General features: G+C 42.1%; 1 protein-coding gene across 41 annotated transcripts in view; it reads right to left on the bottom strand.

Annotated features, from left to right (window-relative positions):
- The window catches only part of TMEM131L (transmembrane 131 like), a 170,352-nt gene that overhangs the window by 56,743 nt on the left and 96,704 nt on the right, over nucleotides 1–16,905 (bottom strand). The gene's annotated exons all lie outside the window — the stretch shown is intronic.

The following is a 16,905-nucleotide window of genomic DNA, read 5'->3' as shown; positions in this document are numbered from 1 at the left end:
GCATTCTCCAAAGCCTAGGCTGGCTTAATAGGGAGTACCTATTTAAAAACCCAGGAAAGATGCATTACTAAGAAGAATCACTACAATTATGTTTGTTAGATTTATAAAACTTACCCAAGTACATTATAAAAGAATACATTTTAAACTACTTCAATTGTCATTCAGGCAATTAAAATACAGAAAAAAAAGAATAGGTCAGGCACAGTAGTGGTTCACATCTGTAATCCCAGCACTTTGGGAGGCCAAGGCAGTGGATCACTGGAGCCCAGGAGTTGCAGACCAGCTAGGAGACATGGCAAAACCCCGTCTCTACTAGAAAAAATACCAGAATTAGCCAGGCGTGGTGATGTGCGCTTATAGTCCCAGCTACTAGGAAGGCTGAGGTGGGATGATTGATTGAGCCCAAGAGGTCAAGGCTGTAGTGAACCGTGACTCTTTTAATCTTTTTTTAAGAAAAAGAATAAAATATATTTTTAATGCAGTAAAAATATTTAAGGAGTTTAAGTTTGTAAATGGGACCAAACATTAAACACTCTTTTAAAGAAATCATTGTTCATATCTGCTAGTATTCTTAAATAGAATAATATGATTTGTAAAATGAATCTAAAATCTTAAACTAGATTTTTTTGTTTTTTGAGACAGGGTCTCACTCTGTTTCCCAGGCTGGAGTCGGGTAGTGCAATCTTGGCTCATGCAACCTCCACCTCAGCCTCCCAAGTAGCTGGGACTACAGGCACACACCACCACACATGGCTAATTTGTGTATTTTTTATAGAGACGGAGCTTCACCATATTTCCCAGGCTGGTTTTGAACTCCTGGGCTCAAGCAATCCACCCACCTCAGCCTCCCAAAGTGCTAGGATTACAGGTGTGCACCAATACACCAGCCTGAAGAACTAGATTTTTAAATTTGTCTATGAACAAATCCCAACATCAAACAGAAAAAGCCCACTTTCTGAAACTGATTTTTAATTTTTAAAATTTATCTTTAAAATTAAAAGAGACTTGTTAGGCTGGGTGCAGTGGCTCATGCCTGTAATCCCAGCACTTTGGGAGGCCGAGGTGGGTGGATCATCTGAGGTCAGCAGTTGGAGACTAGCCTGGCCAAAATGGTGAAACCCCGTCTCTACTAAAAATACAAAAAAAAATGGCCAGGCATTGTGGCTCACGCCTGTAATCTCAGCACTTTGGGAGGCCGAGGCGGGTGGATCACGGGGTCAGGAGATCAAGACCATCCTGGATAACATGGTGAAACCCCGTCTCTACTAAAAATACAAAAAATTAGCTGGGTGTGGTGGCGGGTGCCTGTAGTCCCAGCTACTCGGGAGGCTGAGGCAGGAGAATGGCGTGAACCTGAGAGGCAGAGCTTGCAGTGTGCCGAGATCGCGCCACTGCACTCCAGCCTGGGCGACAGAACGAGACTCCGTCAAAAAAAAAAAAAAAAAACTAGCTGGGCATAGTGGCGCACACCTGTAGTCCCAGCTACTTGGGAGGCTGAGGCAGGAGAATCACTTGAACCCAGGAGGTGGAGGTTTCAGTGAGCTGAGATCATGCCATTGCACTCCAGCCTGGGTGACAAGAGTGAAACTCCGTCTCAAAAAAAAATAAAATACTTGTTATACTGCCCAGGCTGAAGCACAGTGGCAATTCACAGGCACAATCATAGCGCAATGCAGCCTCAAACTCCTGGCCTCAAGCGATCCTCCCACCTCAGCCTCCTGAGTAGCTGGGACTACAAGCGTGCACTACCATGCCCAGCTCTGAAACTGCTTTAACTAAGGTTACAAATGATCCTCACACGGCCAAATCCAACAGAAACTTCTCCTTTTGTTCACCACTCTCCCTGCTGCCACCAGCCCCCTGTCCTGTTACAGCCTGAACCACTTGTCCCTCTCGGTTTTTCTTTCTCTCTGGTTCCTCTGCCAGCTGTTGCTCCTTTAACCATCAGACACTGAGTTATGCTGGATGCTGCCTATGCCCTCTTCACTCTCTCCCAGGGGAGCTTGTTGGCATGCTGAACCCTCCCACATCGATTCCCCTAGCTTAGTCCTCTCCATACCTATATGTCCAACCAGTGACTGGGCATCCACCTGAATCTTCACACACCCCAACCTGGCCACCTTTGCTGTGTGCCTCATCTTAGCACCATTATTCATCAACCCTATCATTATTTATCCAGTTGTTTAAGCCAGAAACCTGAAAACCCCTTTCACTTCAGCTTCTCATACTCTCCTCAAACAAATCCATAACCAAGTCATACTGATTGTACCTCCTTCATGAGCCCTTAAACCCACTCACTTCTCCTCTTTCTTAATAAATACCCCAGATATCAGGGGTTAGCAAACTATGCCCACAGGTTAAATCCAGTTTGCTGCTTATTTTTGTCAGCAAAGTTTTATTGGAACACAGCCATGCCCGTTCCTTTATGGACTGTCTACTATTGCCTTCGTGCTATGATAGCAGAGTTGAGTACTTGCAACAGAGACTGTACAGCCTACAAAGTCAAAATAAATACTCTAACACCACAAAACTACACAAAAAAATGATGGTGCAGTAACTTCCTCTTAGTCTCCCTGCATCCACCTCTGCCCTTTCCACTCCATTCTCCACACTGCACCAAGAGTGAATTTACCCATATACAAATCTGGTCATGCCACTATTTGCTTAAAACTCTTCAAAGACTTCTCACTTGGCAAAAGTCCCAAATCCTCTGCTGTCGCTATAAAACTCCGGCACCTGCCTAGTCTCGACCTCCCTGCGCATGCTCCAACCTCACTGGTCTCGTTTCTGCTCTGCTTGCCTCAACACCTTTGAATTTTCTGTCCCTTTGCCTTGCACCCACTCCTCCAACCCACCCACCTCTCCACCTAGCTAAATCTGATTTATGCTTCATGTCCTGGCTTAAATACCCTCTCAGACACCACAGCAACTTCTACCTGACCTTTTGTAACACTTCTCACAACAACATGGTCAAGGTCTACCTACGCCAGGAGATTCTAAGCATCTCGTGCTTCGAATGCACAATGCCTATCACTTCATCAGCACTCAATAAACAGCTGATGAGTGGATAGAGGTGGGCATACAGCCACAGATGCTAGGGAATCAGCTTGAAAAGGGCAAGAGAAGCTTGAAAAGGGCAAGAAACAGAAAATAGTAAACGGTGCCTACAAAATAAAAGAATAAAAACCTAACAGTGTGTATTTCTGATCTGAAACTTTCAAAAAATGTTTAAAGAAAAAAATCATATTAACACACTTTTAAAGTACACATTTATAAGTTTTTTTTTTTTTTTTAAGAAATCTACAACAATTTAACTATGTTAAGGTCTTAACCTGACAAGGCAATTCTCTACCCTACAATATTTCTTCAAATGAAAAGATGTTAAAAGTTCACACTCATATTAACAGTTTTTGACACAATTAACAACCCTATTTCGCAGAGTAATTTGCTATGATTTAAAGCCTAATATTTTGTCATTCTTAGTAAATCTCTGGACGGATATATTTATAACTTGCCATTTTAATTAAGATTCTTCTATTAGCGAGAGGCATTTTAAAAATCACTATTTTGTTTCTTTTGTTGTAGGACATATTTCAGAATCCCACAAGGGGGAGTTCTAGCACCTCCAAACTGCCCTTCAGAAGTATGCTAATTTTTCTAAAAGAAAAAGTTTCAAGTCCATATCTTTCTCAAAAGAACAAAACAATTGGGCCGGGCGCGGTGGCCAACGCCTGTAATCCCAGCACTCTGGGAGGCCGAGGCAGGCAGATCACGAGGTCAGGAGATCAAGACCATCCTGGCTAACATGGTGAAACCCTGTCTCTACTAAAAAATACAAAAAATCAGCCGGGCATGGTGGCGGGCGCCTGTAGTCCCAGCTACTCGGGAGGCTGAGGCAGGAGAATGGCGTGAACCTGGGAGGCAGAGCTTGCAGTGAGCCGAGATCGGGCCACTGCACTCCAACCTGGGCAACAGCGTGAGACTTCATCTCAAAAAAAAAAAAAGAACAAAACAATAGCAATATTAACTTGATAAAAAAGAAACTCTAACCAAAATGTTAGCCAGGGGGCAACCACATACTAGGGTTACAAGTTCCCCAACTGTCCCCAACTGAGCACACTGTGTGACAACAGGACACGCCCTCATCCAGAGTGAGCCTGGGCTGATTAGACAGGAAAAACAAATAAAAACGTAATTCTCTAGTTTTGAAACCTCCCATACTCCTTTAACAAATCAGATCAGATATTTTATAGAAAAAAGAAAAAGTAACTCTATAAACAACTTTTTCTTAAGTAGTCTTCATTGAAAGTATTAATATAGTTTATATATTTCATATTATTTCATATAAAGTATTATCCCCTTTTAGAAGATGGGGGAAATTGTGGCTTGGAGGGGTTAAGAGACTTATCAAAGATCTTGGGGCTAGGTAGTAGAAAAACAGAAAAAAAAATCAGGTTTTTCAACTGCAGTCAGTACTTTTTTAACAAATTAAAATAGATCAAATCTGTTTCTCCTAGGTACCTAAAGGCCTAAAAATCCATCAACACAGGGATATATATTAGAAAACCATACCAAGATAAAATGCAAAGGTCAAGAAAATAGAAATGTTAAAACTCCTTTTGTATGTCATGTATTTCCACAGTTTTGTGGTGAAGAAGTATGAATTTAGGGAACTGGATACTAGAGAGAAAGGAATCATCTCCCTTCACTTGCTAAGGAATTGCTGGTGCCCTGGGCCACAAGAAGGGTGTGATTTGGGGGGACTGTGTGCAATTAAACAGGAAAGGAAATAACAGACTTAAAGTATTAAGTCATTCTGATGTCTTATCAACAAGAGTAAAGCACAGCCTAATAAATAAATATATTTGAGAATCTATATTAATCCAGACAGAATGAACAAGAGGCTTGATGTTCCTGGTAATAACCACATGAAACCTTTTTATTTAAGGACTACAACTTATGAAATATGAAAGAATTACTTAGACAAATCCCAATCTTAGATTCTGTATTTCTCAGACATCTTTCTCCCCTTTCACAATTTTGAATGCTAAATATTAGAAGTCATTATAAAAGTAAATCTCGGCCGGGCGCAGTGGCTCACACCTGTAATCTCGGCACTTTGGGAGGCCAAGGAGGGCGGATCACTCGAGGTCAAGAATTTGAGACCAGCCTGTCCAACATGGTGAAACCCTGTCTCTAGTAAAAATACAAAAATTTGCTGGGCATGGTGGCACACGCCTGTAATCTCAGCTTCTCGGGAGGCTGAAGCTGGGGAATTGCTTGAACCCGGGAGGCGGAGCTGCAACTGCACCATTGCACTCCAGCCTGGGTAACAGAGTCCATCTCAAAAAGACAAGAAAAAGTAAATCTCTTATGCCAACATATGCATCTGGAACACTGATTCTGTATAAGCCATCTGACTGCTCCAGCAGGTGGCCCCCACACACAGTATTATGCACATGGCAAATGATCTTGTATAAAATGAGAGCTATCTTGGGTGCCTTCCACATAACACTCAGATTCTATAACCACACTCCTAATTTAGTGTTTCCTGCATAACAGCAGGCTCAGCTGAGTTATTAATAAGTACTGTACAGCTATTTTTCCCTGATATTAAATAGCAATTGTGTTTCAACCCCCACCACCACCACCACTACCCTTTTATTCCTCAGATATTAACCACTAAAACAAAATCTAACTATACTGCCAGACCCACTCATGCAAACATTTGCAAAAACCTAGGAAGTGGCTGAAATTAGTTTGCTTTGAGGAAAAAAGAGGCTACTGCATATGGATAGCATTTTTCCTTATCCACATCATTTTAGAAAAGGCAGTGTGGCCAAGTGCTTAGCCAACACAGATTTGAGATCAAACCCCAGCCATAAAAGCCTGGGGACATTCCCCACCCACTCTAAGACTCAGCTTCCTCTTCTATGAAATCAAGTTATTGAATTCACAGCAATATGATGGGTGCTAAATGAGATACATATGCAAACCACTGGGTACACAGTAGGCCTCAAAGGGGAGATTATATTGATTTGCTCATTCACAATTAATGCATTTATTTAATAAAATTCCACAACAAATAATTTAGATGCTTGGGGGAAGCATTTTTCCCACATTAAAGCTTTTAGAAGATAACTCTTTACCACACTCCTTTGGTTTCTAAGAGATTTTTTTTCCCCTAAAACACTTCAAGTTCTTTTTATTTCATGATTGGAACAGAACTCAAGAAAAAAAGAAGTGTCATTTACTGGACACTACCTCCCACTCCCTGAAATGTGCCAGAAACCCTGAAAGACAGACAAAAAACAATTGGGAGACTAAGATAACCCCTGTACTATCTAAACTTTTGGTTTGGCCAAGTGGAAGTCATCTGTGTTGGGCAACACCTTGGTTTTTACACCTGGATAACTAGCTTTTAACTATTACAACCTGGGCTGGCAGCTTCAGCAGAGCCATGTGGGATTTTCACCTTGATAGGTCAGGCAGCGTATGTTGGCTCTGTCCAAAGGCAAGTAACTATTTTTATACAATTGGATGATGCTGGGCCTCAAACAAATGACAAGTAGGCCCTGCATGTCTGGCACAGGCCCTGAAACAAGATCCAGGCTCGGCAAAAGTTTAAGCTTTGTGATGCAGGCTGCCGTCGCTTGACCTTGAGTAGCATGGGCACAGCTTATACTTAAGCAGGCATCGCTGTGGCGAGAATTAGGCTATAAAAGAAAGGACGCTGTGGTGGTTCCTCAAAAAACTTGAACAGAATTACCAATTCCATTTCTAGGCATACACTCAAAAGTGACAGCAGGGACTCAGATACTTATACACCCATCTTCATGGCAAGACTACTCATAAATGCCACAAGGTGGATAAACAAAACATGATATATATGTGCAACAGAAAATTATTCAGCCTTAAAAAGGAATAAAATTCTGATACATGCTATATAACATGGGAGAACCTTGAAGACATTATGCAAAATGAAATAAACCAAACACAAAGGGACAAATACTGTATAATCCCACTTCTATGAGGGACCTAGAATAGTCCAATTCATAGAGACAGAAAGTAGAATAGTGGTTGCCAGGGAGAATAATGGTGGCTGAGGGAAGGTGTTTAATGGGTATGGAGTTTCCCCTTGGGGTGATGAAAGGGTCCTGGAGATGGATGGAGGTGATGACTGTACAACACTGTGAATGTACTTACTGCCAGTGAACTGTACGCATACAAATGGTGAAAATGGTAAATTTTGTGTTAAGTATATTTTACCCCATATATATAGGGAAAGGGGAAGGCAAGAGCTAGACACAGCTGAAATGGTTTAAAATAACCAAACTGGGCCGGGTGCGGTGGCTCATGCCTGAAATACCAGCACTTTGGGAGGCTGAGGCAGGTGGATTACCTGAGTTCAGGAGTTCAAGACCAGCCTGACCAACATGGTGAAACCCCATCTCTACTAAAATTACAAAAATTAGCTGGGCGTGGTCATGGGCACCTGTAATCCCAGCTACTTGGGAGGCTGAGGCAAGGGAATCACTTGAACCCGGGAGGCAGAGGTTGCAGTGAGCCGAGATCACGCCACTGCACACCAGCCTGGGCAACAAGAGCGAAACTCTGTCTCAAAAAACAAAACAAAACAAAAAAGAAATAACCAAACCTTGCTGGGTAACCAACACAAAGTTACAGCTAGACAGACAGAATGAGTTCTGGTGTTCTACAGCACTACAGGGTGACTGCAGTTGACTACAATAAAGCCAGAAGGGAGGATTTTGAATGTTCACAACATAATGAAATGATAAATGTCTGAGGTGATAATACGCTAATTACCCTGAGTGGATCGTTACACATTGTATACAGTATCAAAACAGCACTCTCTATCCCATACCTAAGTACAATTATTACATGCCAACTAAAAAGGAAAAAAAAAAGAAAACAACATCTAGAAAGTCAGGTTAAACAGATATAAAAAGAGAAGTGGAGATACTTTGAGATCTCATTGTGCAGGTATTCAAAATGAAATATATCTGTGCTAAATGGAGCTTTTAAAAGACTCTAATAAAGGAAGACAGGCAAGATCTCAGCAGACTGGAATTGTTCCTCAAAAAATAGGCCAGTCATGGTGGCTCACACCTGTCATCCTAGCACTTTGGTAGACCGAGGCAGGTGGATCACTTGAGCTCAGGAGTTTGAAACCAGCCTGGGCAACATGGTGAAACCCTGTCTCCACAAAAAAATATAAAACTTAGCTGGGCATGGTGGTACATGCCTGTAGTCCCAGCTACTCAGGAGGCTGAGGAGGGAGGATCACCTGAGCTCGGGAGGCCAAGGTTGTAATAACTGTAACTGCACCACTGCATTCTAGCTTGGGCAACAGAGCAAGACCCTGTCTTAAAACAAAAGTAAAAATAAAAATAATTAAGAAACCATGATTGAGTTCTAGGAACTGTGAAGAAATACACTTAAATCCCCCATAGTAAACAATTAAGGAGCTCTACCATCAAAGACTGAGGCGGCTACACCAAGCCTTACACAAACCTGGACAGGTGAAAGGAAACCAGGAAGGTGAGTGTGGAATGCTCAGTGCATTTTTCAATGGAGATACAATTACTGCTTGTGCCCTGAGGGAATATGCTTGAGAAGTTTATGGCATTTAGGACTCAATCAAAAGAAGGCACAGCAAAGAGGAAACCATTAAAGGAGAACCAGGCAGGACAAGATAAACCGAGCCTGGGCCTGACTGGGATACTGGGCTGACAGGAGAGTATCTCTTATGTAAGATTATGCAACGCAACAAACAGAAAAAAGATTTGTTTGAACTATAGATGTTTTTAGTAGACCCAGAACTTGATTTTATCTCTTTTGCTTTGGGAGAACACACCGAAAAAAATCTAGAGAAAGATCTAAAGGGAAAATAAATATCTAGACCAAAAAGTTAAAAAAAAATTAAAGGAATGTACTAATTTAAAAAGAAAGAGAGCAACACAAAAAGCTGGTTAAATTGAACAGTGGAGAACAAGCAAGTCCTGGGGGAACAGCCGACTAACACAGAAAAAGAAGGAACTATCACCACTAGGCCCTGATGGACTCACACTTCCAAAGTGTCAACAACTGCTCACCTCAGGGCATCTGCTGAGAACACCACTCCAGTTGAAATAAGTGGACAAAAAGGAAACAAACTTCCCTAAGAAGCAGGTTTCAGAAGCCCCCGCAAGTCCACAGTGAGAGGCAATGGAAACCACCCTGTGCACAGATCTCAACGTCACTGCCCACAGACTGCAGAAGCTCTGCTCCTAACACAGCTTCCATACCACTAGCACAAAAGTGCCGGGAGATGCCAGAAACAAGGGCCCAAGGAAGAAACAGAAATCCACACATGGAAAACAGAAGGAAGGCAGGCCGAGTATGTCGGCTACCGCCAGGCAAATTTATAAACTCTGAGGGAAGGCCAGAGCATCTCAGGTGCCCCTTCCTGAGTAGAGCAGTGGTATGCACAGGTGGCTCCTCTCTAACCCCCAAAGTACCCAGATTAGCCTCCTGACTAATGGTGATCTCTCCCTGCCAAGCGTTAAGTGCAAAGGTCTGAGACTCCACAACCAGCATGAATTCAAGCGGAAACCAAGGTGAGGCTCTCTCCAACTTCCTTCCCTCTCTTTGGTAAATCGAAGTACTAGGGACGATTCTGCTTAAAATTAGTGCTTGGAGGGCTGGGAAGTGGGGGGACACGTTTTCCAATTTTTTTGGATGTGAAGTTAATAATCTGTTATTCTTGTGCGTTTCATTAAGATTGCAGATTCAAGTGAGGCTCAAATGACTTACTATTGAACCACTATAAATTCTGAAACCGTGGGGAAACCACGCACATTCTAGCAAGAACAAATCCAGCCTGTAGCTACTAAAAGTTCCCCAGCTGCACAGAGGCATGGAGAACTTCTGATTAAAATAAAAATAAAATAAAATAAAATAAAAACAAGAAATTGAAGAGGACTTCAAATTCTTTGAATGTTAACTCACAGGCCAAGATAACTGGATACACTACCATAGCCTTGAACTTTCATGTCCCGTTGGGGGTTCTAATCTCTGAATATTAAAGTTCTCCCGGAGTTTCATAATAGAAGAGGGTTTATATTCAGAAGGTTCTTTTTAAAAGTTAAGTGATTAAGGCATTTCAGCTATGTGCCAGAGACTAGTTCTAAGCTCTTTAAATAAATTGGTTGATTCAATTGCTACACCAACCCTATCCGAAAGGGCTATTATTACATATTTTACAGATAAACTGAGACACAGGGAGATTAGGTAACTTGGCTACAGTCACTCAGAACCAAGATTTTTAGCCAGGTGGTCTGGTTTGGAATTCACCCTCTTATTCACTCCCACTATGCATCTCTATGACAGGCATTTTATATGGCTGATATTTTCTACTGCCATATTTTAACACTGTTATTTAATCGCATCACAAAAGCTCTGATAAACTGTACCGGATATTGCAGTTGAAAAGAATTTGGGATGGGGAAACAGAGGAAGATGTGAACTTTCAACCCTGGTTACAGTGTGGCCTTGGGGCAGATTATTAGTGAATTTATCTAATCCATCTCAAAGCTGTCTAGGGGCAAACTCAACAGCAGACCCCAGCAGTCCGAGGAGGGTCAACAAAGAAATCAGGGGAGGGGTTGGCTCTCAGGGGAAGGAGGAACAGGTCCAAGAAGGTGAAAGCACAGGGCTGGAAATCGGCTGATCTCAGGCTTAACAGGTAATTCCAAAGGGTCAAGAGCACAGAAACCAAGGACGTCACAATGAGAGGCTTCTCTTTCCCTAAACACTACTGTCCTTTTATCCCAAGCCTTCCTCTCTCCTTGGAGGTCAAGGAATTACCTAATTGGTGGGCAACAGAGAAGCATCCTGTGCTGTAGGAAGGGGTGAGAAGGGCAGGGGCTCTTGGAGGAGTTGGTTTCTTTCCTCCTCCTCTCTACACTTTGGGAAGCATCTGTCCTTCAGACCCAAACTTCCCCTCCAGTGGGCCACCCCAAAGTCTACCCTAGGGGAGAAGGAGTTAGTAACTCCTGGCTCTCTTACCCTGGCTGATACAGGAGAATATGTCTTATCAGTAATACAAAGCCGGTTTTAGTTCTCTAACTCCAGATTCTTAAATATCCAATGATTCAGAACTTGGTCAGGAAGAGAGGTGTTATTTATTAGGTATCTCTAAGTCTTCTAACAAAAGTTTCTAAAGTACTCTAATAGAATAAATGAAGGAAGTCAAAGGAAAGTCTGTGTGTCATATCTTCATAAATAGCTTATTATAATGTTTTCCTTTTTAAGATTCATTTATCCAGTTGTCAATCATTGATTTACTACATGTTATATTGCCAGGTAATAGGAAAACAAAGATTAGGGCATAATTCTTGCTCTTAAGGGGTTAAATCTAGTACAGAAAAATTCATAAAAACAAAAGCTTTTGAGTATTATAGCTGCTACAGCAGGGATCTCTTAGGGTTTTCAGTAAGGAACTAGTCAATTCTCCTGGGAGGCAAAAAAATAAAAAGAGACAAGGTAAACATTGAGTTAAAAGAGGGACCAGGAAACTGTGTCCTCACAGTAGCCAAGAAAGCCGAGATTTTAAAGCACAAACAAGGAGGAAGACGGAGCGTGAAGACACTCCACTGAGTCTGAAACAAAAGTGAGGGGAGGGAGAACACCCCCACTCACACATCTTGGTATTCTTTCTAGAGTCTTCATGACGCGCCCCTCCTTTCTTCCAGTCACTAACCCTCCTCTACCTCCCCTCTTCCCAAGTTCCCATTCCACAGAAGCATTCTCACTTGAAACTTAAGAAAATTTTTAGAAGTTTAAGCAATTCCTTTTAAAACAAACAAACAAAAAAGCTATATTCAGAAGTAGGTAGATAAGTAAATGTACAACATCACTTAATTTCCCCTTAACATATAATCATTTTCCAGAGATTGACAGCCTATCATTTTTATGTAAAAAAGATCAAACAACTTTTATCACTCAAAGAAACTGAAAGGAGTGCTAGCTTGCCTTAGGTAGATAGCAAGGGAAGGATTTCCAGAGAGCCCCCAGTTCAAAGTTTGGTGCCTTATTCCCACATAACATAAAAAGCAGCCTGGGGGCTGGGCTTGGTGACTCACACCTGTAATCCCAGCACTTTGGGAGGCCCAGGCAGTAGGATCACCTGAGGTCAGAAGTTCGAGACCAGCCAGGCCAACGTGGTGAAACCCCATCTCTACTAAATACAAAAATTAGCTGGGTGTGGTGGTGCGTGCCTGTAATCCCAGCTACTCAGGAGGCTGAGACAGGAGAATTGCTTGAACACTGGAGGCGGAGGTTGCAGTGAGCCGAGATCGTGCCATTGCACTCCAGCCTGGGTGACAAGAGCCAAAGTCTGTCTCAAAAAAAAAAAAAAGCCTGGGGGAAAAAAAAAATCTAGCTTTCTTGCTTCACTTACTAAACTTTCACTCTAACCTCACCTTCATGTGGTGCTCCTTAATCCTCTTGGAGGTAGGACAAAAAACTCCAGGTGTTCTCTCAAACAACAAAAAACAGTTACATCTTGGTGTACTGCTAAAACTACAACAAAATGTTACTAAATACATTATGTTTACACAGGTATTTGTAGGAATTCTCAGCTATCACAATACTGTTTATTCCATTTAACTAATTATGTAAGACTATCAGGAAAATGGGACAGCTCTAAAGACCCTTAACCTTTCTCTGTTATCTCTTTTTCCATCTTCAAATCCTAGATCAGGTATTTTGTAACTTGTTAGGGAGAAATGTGCCCCTTTCCATTTCCTCATCAAACTGTGATTGAAAGGCTTTCCACGTTCTCCTCCTTACCCTGATTTTACAGCTTCCCTTCTAGATTGCCACGTTAATTGACAGGGATCAGCACCTTAGAAGGCAAGTAGCAGGTAACAACTTGAGGCACCCACCCCAGGCCAAATCTAGCAGGCACCACGCTGTAGGCAGCCCGGGACCGCAACCTTTGCCCAGCACCTGTCCCTGGCAGGCGGGCACGAGGGTTTGACACCACACGCTGAAAGCAAGGGCTGTGCCAGTTTTAAAAGGTTAGGAATTCCTGGTCTGAAATGTATTAGATATCACACAGAATATCCAGAGATAATCTCTCCTGTACACAATCCAGCAACATGTTGCCATGGCAGGGGAGAAAATCTCTCATCCACACATAAACTTAGAAAAAACACTGCAAGGAGACAACCAACTATTAATTGTGATGATCATTGCCAAGTATGACTGTGGTCTTAAGGTTTATTTCTAATGTTTCATTTCTCTGGGTTTCCCATGTTTTCTTATAATCACATTATACCTTCTGATAATCCCAAAATATCCTTAAGAGAAAATCTCTTAGACAATTCAATAATTTGATACTATGTTGAGACACACACACACACACACACACACACACACACACTCACACTCACACACAAAGACAAAACTACCTTTATTTGGCAGAACTCTGTGTCAGGGTTTTCCTCTAACTTTAAAACCAAGTTTCAGCCGGACACAGTGGCTCATGCCTGTAATCCCGGCACTTTGAGAGGCTGAGGCGGGCGGATCACGAGGTCAGGAGATCAAGACCATCCTGGCTAACATGGTGAAACCCCGTCTCTACTAAAAATACAAAAAATTATCTGGGCGTGCTTGCGGGCGCCTGTGGTCCCAGCTACTCGGGAGGCTGAGGCAGGAGAATGGCGTGAACCTGGGAGGCGGAGCTTGCAGTGAGCCGAGATTGCGCCACTGCACTCCAGCCTGGGCGACAGAGTGAGACTCTTGTCTCAAAAAAAAAAAAAAAGTTTCCCACATTGTCTTATAATCACATTTTTAACAACAACATTATTTACAATGATTCCAATAATAATAATTTAAGTTCTTTTCAATCTTTCAGACAAAGTATATGGCTAATGATCCTAAATGCCAGATTCTGAGACAATGCCAATTTCAAATATTCTGTTTTGCCCAAATAAGTCACTGAAACACTCCCCAAATCTCAATGGCTTGAATCCAATACATTACTGGAGAAAACATTTAAATAATAAAATTTCTTGCCTTCTCATGAGCCTAACACAACATAAACCTCGCCATATATTTAGTTACAATCGCAGTCTAATTTTAATACTTGTCACACATTCCCAAATAGGTATCATAATTATAATTCAAAGAACTACTTAATATTCTACTATGTTAATATACGTAAATTTATCAAATTCTTTTTCTACTGTTGGGACTTTAAGTTGCATCTTCTTTTTAGCCATAATAAAAATGCTTCAGAGAACACTGTATTTGCATTTATCTTTTCTGGATCATGGATTACTAAAGCAATAGATATGAAAATCAATATAGCATTTACTAAATTTGGGAAAAATTTAAAGCATACTGAGCTGGCACTGCCAAGGACCAAAATGTGCCCTTATTACAAAAATTACAAAAAGTTAATAATCATTCACTGGCTCTACTCTCAACCTTCACCAAGTAACTTAAACTCTAAGTCCATTCTATAATTTCTAAAATAAGAATAATACCACCTGCCCCGGTAGTAAATCTGCTGAAGGTCAAACTGGTTGATGTGGTGAAAAGGTGAAGTTATACAAATCTTAGATGTTATGACTAGTAGATATGCTATTTGGGGATCTCAACTCAGATGCCCATTGACTCATTTATCTATTAAAAACTCTGGGAGTCCTCAATGCACTAAACACGAAATTGATAGAGATTATAATAATGAAAAAGCAGGCCCTGTCCCTCCTGCAGAGCTTCATGGAAGAGCAGGAGAGAGACATCCAAGACTCTAAGCATTAAGGCAGGGTGTGGACCAAGCGGCATGCAGACCTCGAGCACAGGCTGCCTGGGAACCTGGAGAGGTGCCAGAGAGGCGATATCTGAACTGGGTCTTGAAGGATGGAATTAGAAGAATAATTAGAATGGGATAAAAGCTTATGAGGCTAAGAGAGCTTGTGGAAAAGGGATGGCATGTTCCGGGAATGATGAAAGGTCTGTGAGGCCAGAGTTCAGAAAAGAGGGGTAGAAGCTCTGAGCCTGGAGGGAGAAGCTGGTCCCAGGTTATCAAGGACCTTGTATGCCAAGCAAAGGAGCTTGGACTTTATCCTGTAAACAAGAGAGGGCTCAGCTAATCCAGTGGCCAGGGAATTAACAAACAGTTTTGTGTAACATGACATCACCAGCAGCAGAGTGACATGTGAACTGGAGCAGAAAGAGAATGACTGGAAGAAAACCAAGTGACAAACAACAAGAAGAATGCAACAAAAGGAGGAGAGCCTCAGCCTGTCATTCAGACCCACCACGACAGTGACTTTCATCACTAGGAATTCTCTCTGCATGAAGGTCAAAACAATAAAAAAGAAGGACCAAATGACAAGGTTTAAAAAAGCAATCTTAACTCCATGTTTTCCTATTATCTTGGTCCACATGGTCAACCATTAAAAAATGCCTCAAACTAGGTAGTTTATAAACAACAGAAATTTATTGCTCACAGTTCTGGGAAGTCCAGGATCAAGGTACCAAGAGATTCTAGTGAGGGCTGGTTCCTCCTAGATGGCACCTGCTATGTGCCATCTATGTCCTCAAATGGCAGAAGGGGCATACAAGCTCCCTTGGGCCTTTTTTTTTTTTTTTTTTTTTTTTTTTGAGACGGAGTTTTGCTCGTCTCCCAGGCTGGAGTGCAATAAGATGATCTCAGCTGACTGCAACCTCCGCCTCCCGGGTTCAAGCAATTCTCCTGCCTCACCCTCCCCAGTAGCTAGGATTACAGGCATGCATCACCACACACAGCTAATTTTTGTATTTTTAGTAGAGACGGGGTTTCACCATGTTGGCCAGACTGGTCTTGAACTCCTGACCTCAGGTAATCTGCCCACCTCGGCCTCCCAAAGTGCTGGGATTACAGGTGTGAGCCACCGCATCTGGCTGGGCCTCTTTTATTAAAGGTACCAATCCTATTCATGAAGGCCCCTCCTCATGACCTGGTCACCTCGCAAGGGCCCCACCTCTTAATACTATTGCATTGAGGATTCAACTCAGCATATGAATTGGGAGGAATAAGAAAAACTGAATGCATATCTTTGTGTGCAGTGTTGTAATAAATGTGAAGAGAAATACCACACGTGGTTCGTGTATATCACAACGCTGCACACAAAATCACACATCCAGGCCAGGCGTGGTGGTTTACACCTGTAATCCCAGCACTTTGAAAAGCCGAGGTGGGTGGATCAATGAGTCCAAGAGTTTGAGACCAGGCAGGGCAACATGGCAAAATCTTGTCTCTACAAAAAATACAAAAATTAGCTGGGCGTGGTAGCATGCACCTGTGATCTCACCTACTCGGGAGGCTGAGGCAGGAGGACGGGTCGAGCTCAGGAGGCTGAAGTCGCAGTGAGCTGAGACAGTAGCACTGTACTCCAGCCTAGGTGACAGAGCGAGACCCTGTCTCAAAAAAAAAAAAAAAAAAAAAAAAAAAAAGGGTACATATCCGTTTTCTCACTGCTTTCCTTTCTCATGATTGAATTTTGCTAAGTTTGCAGCAGCAAAAGATCAGTTACCTTCTGAGATTATTCTGGCAACCCAAATTTCAAGTTTTGCAACAGATAACTCATAACGATCTTTTAAATGCCATTTGAATTATGTGTCCTCAACATACTACATCAAGCACATCTCCCATTTTACAATCCATGCTCCACAGTTTTATAAAATATTCCTGCTGTTTTTCCTTCTCTGATCAGCATTTCACAGATGGATGAGTCAAGCAGTACCTGCAAATTTTGGAACCTTCACCTTCCAGACTATTTATGTTCAGGGATCCTTGGGTACATGCCTTTCTACCCTCTGCCTATGCTGAAGCCAGATAATTTTTTA

This window comes from Homo sapiens, chromosome 4 (genome assembly GCF_000001405.40).
Source record: "Homo sapiens chromosome 4, GRCh38.p14 Primary Assembly".
Classification (NCBI taxonomy): Eukaryota; Metazoa; Chordata; class Mammalia; order Primates; family Hominidae; genus Homo; species Homo sapiens.
The sequence above is the reverse complement of the archived record's forward strand: the minus strand, read 5'-3'. Positions and strand labels throughout refer to the sequence as shown.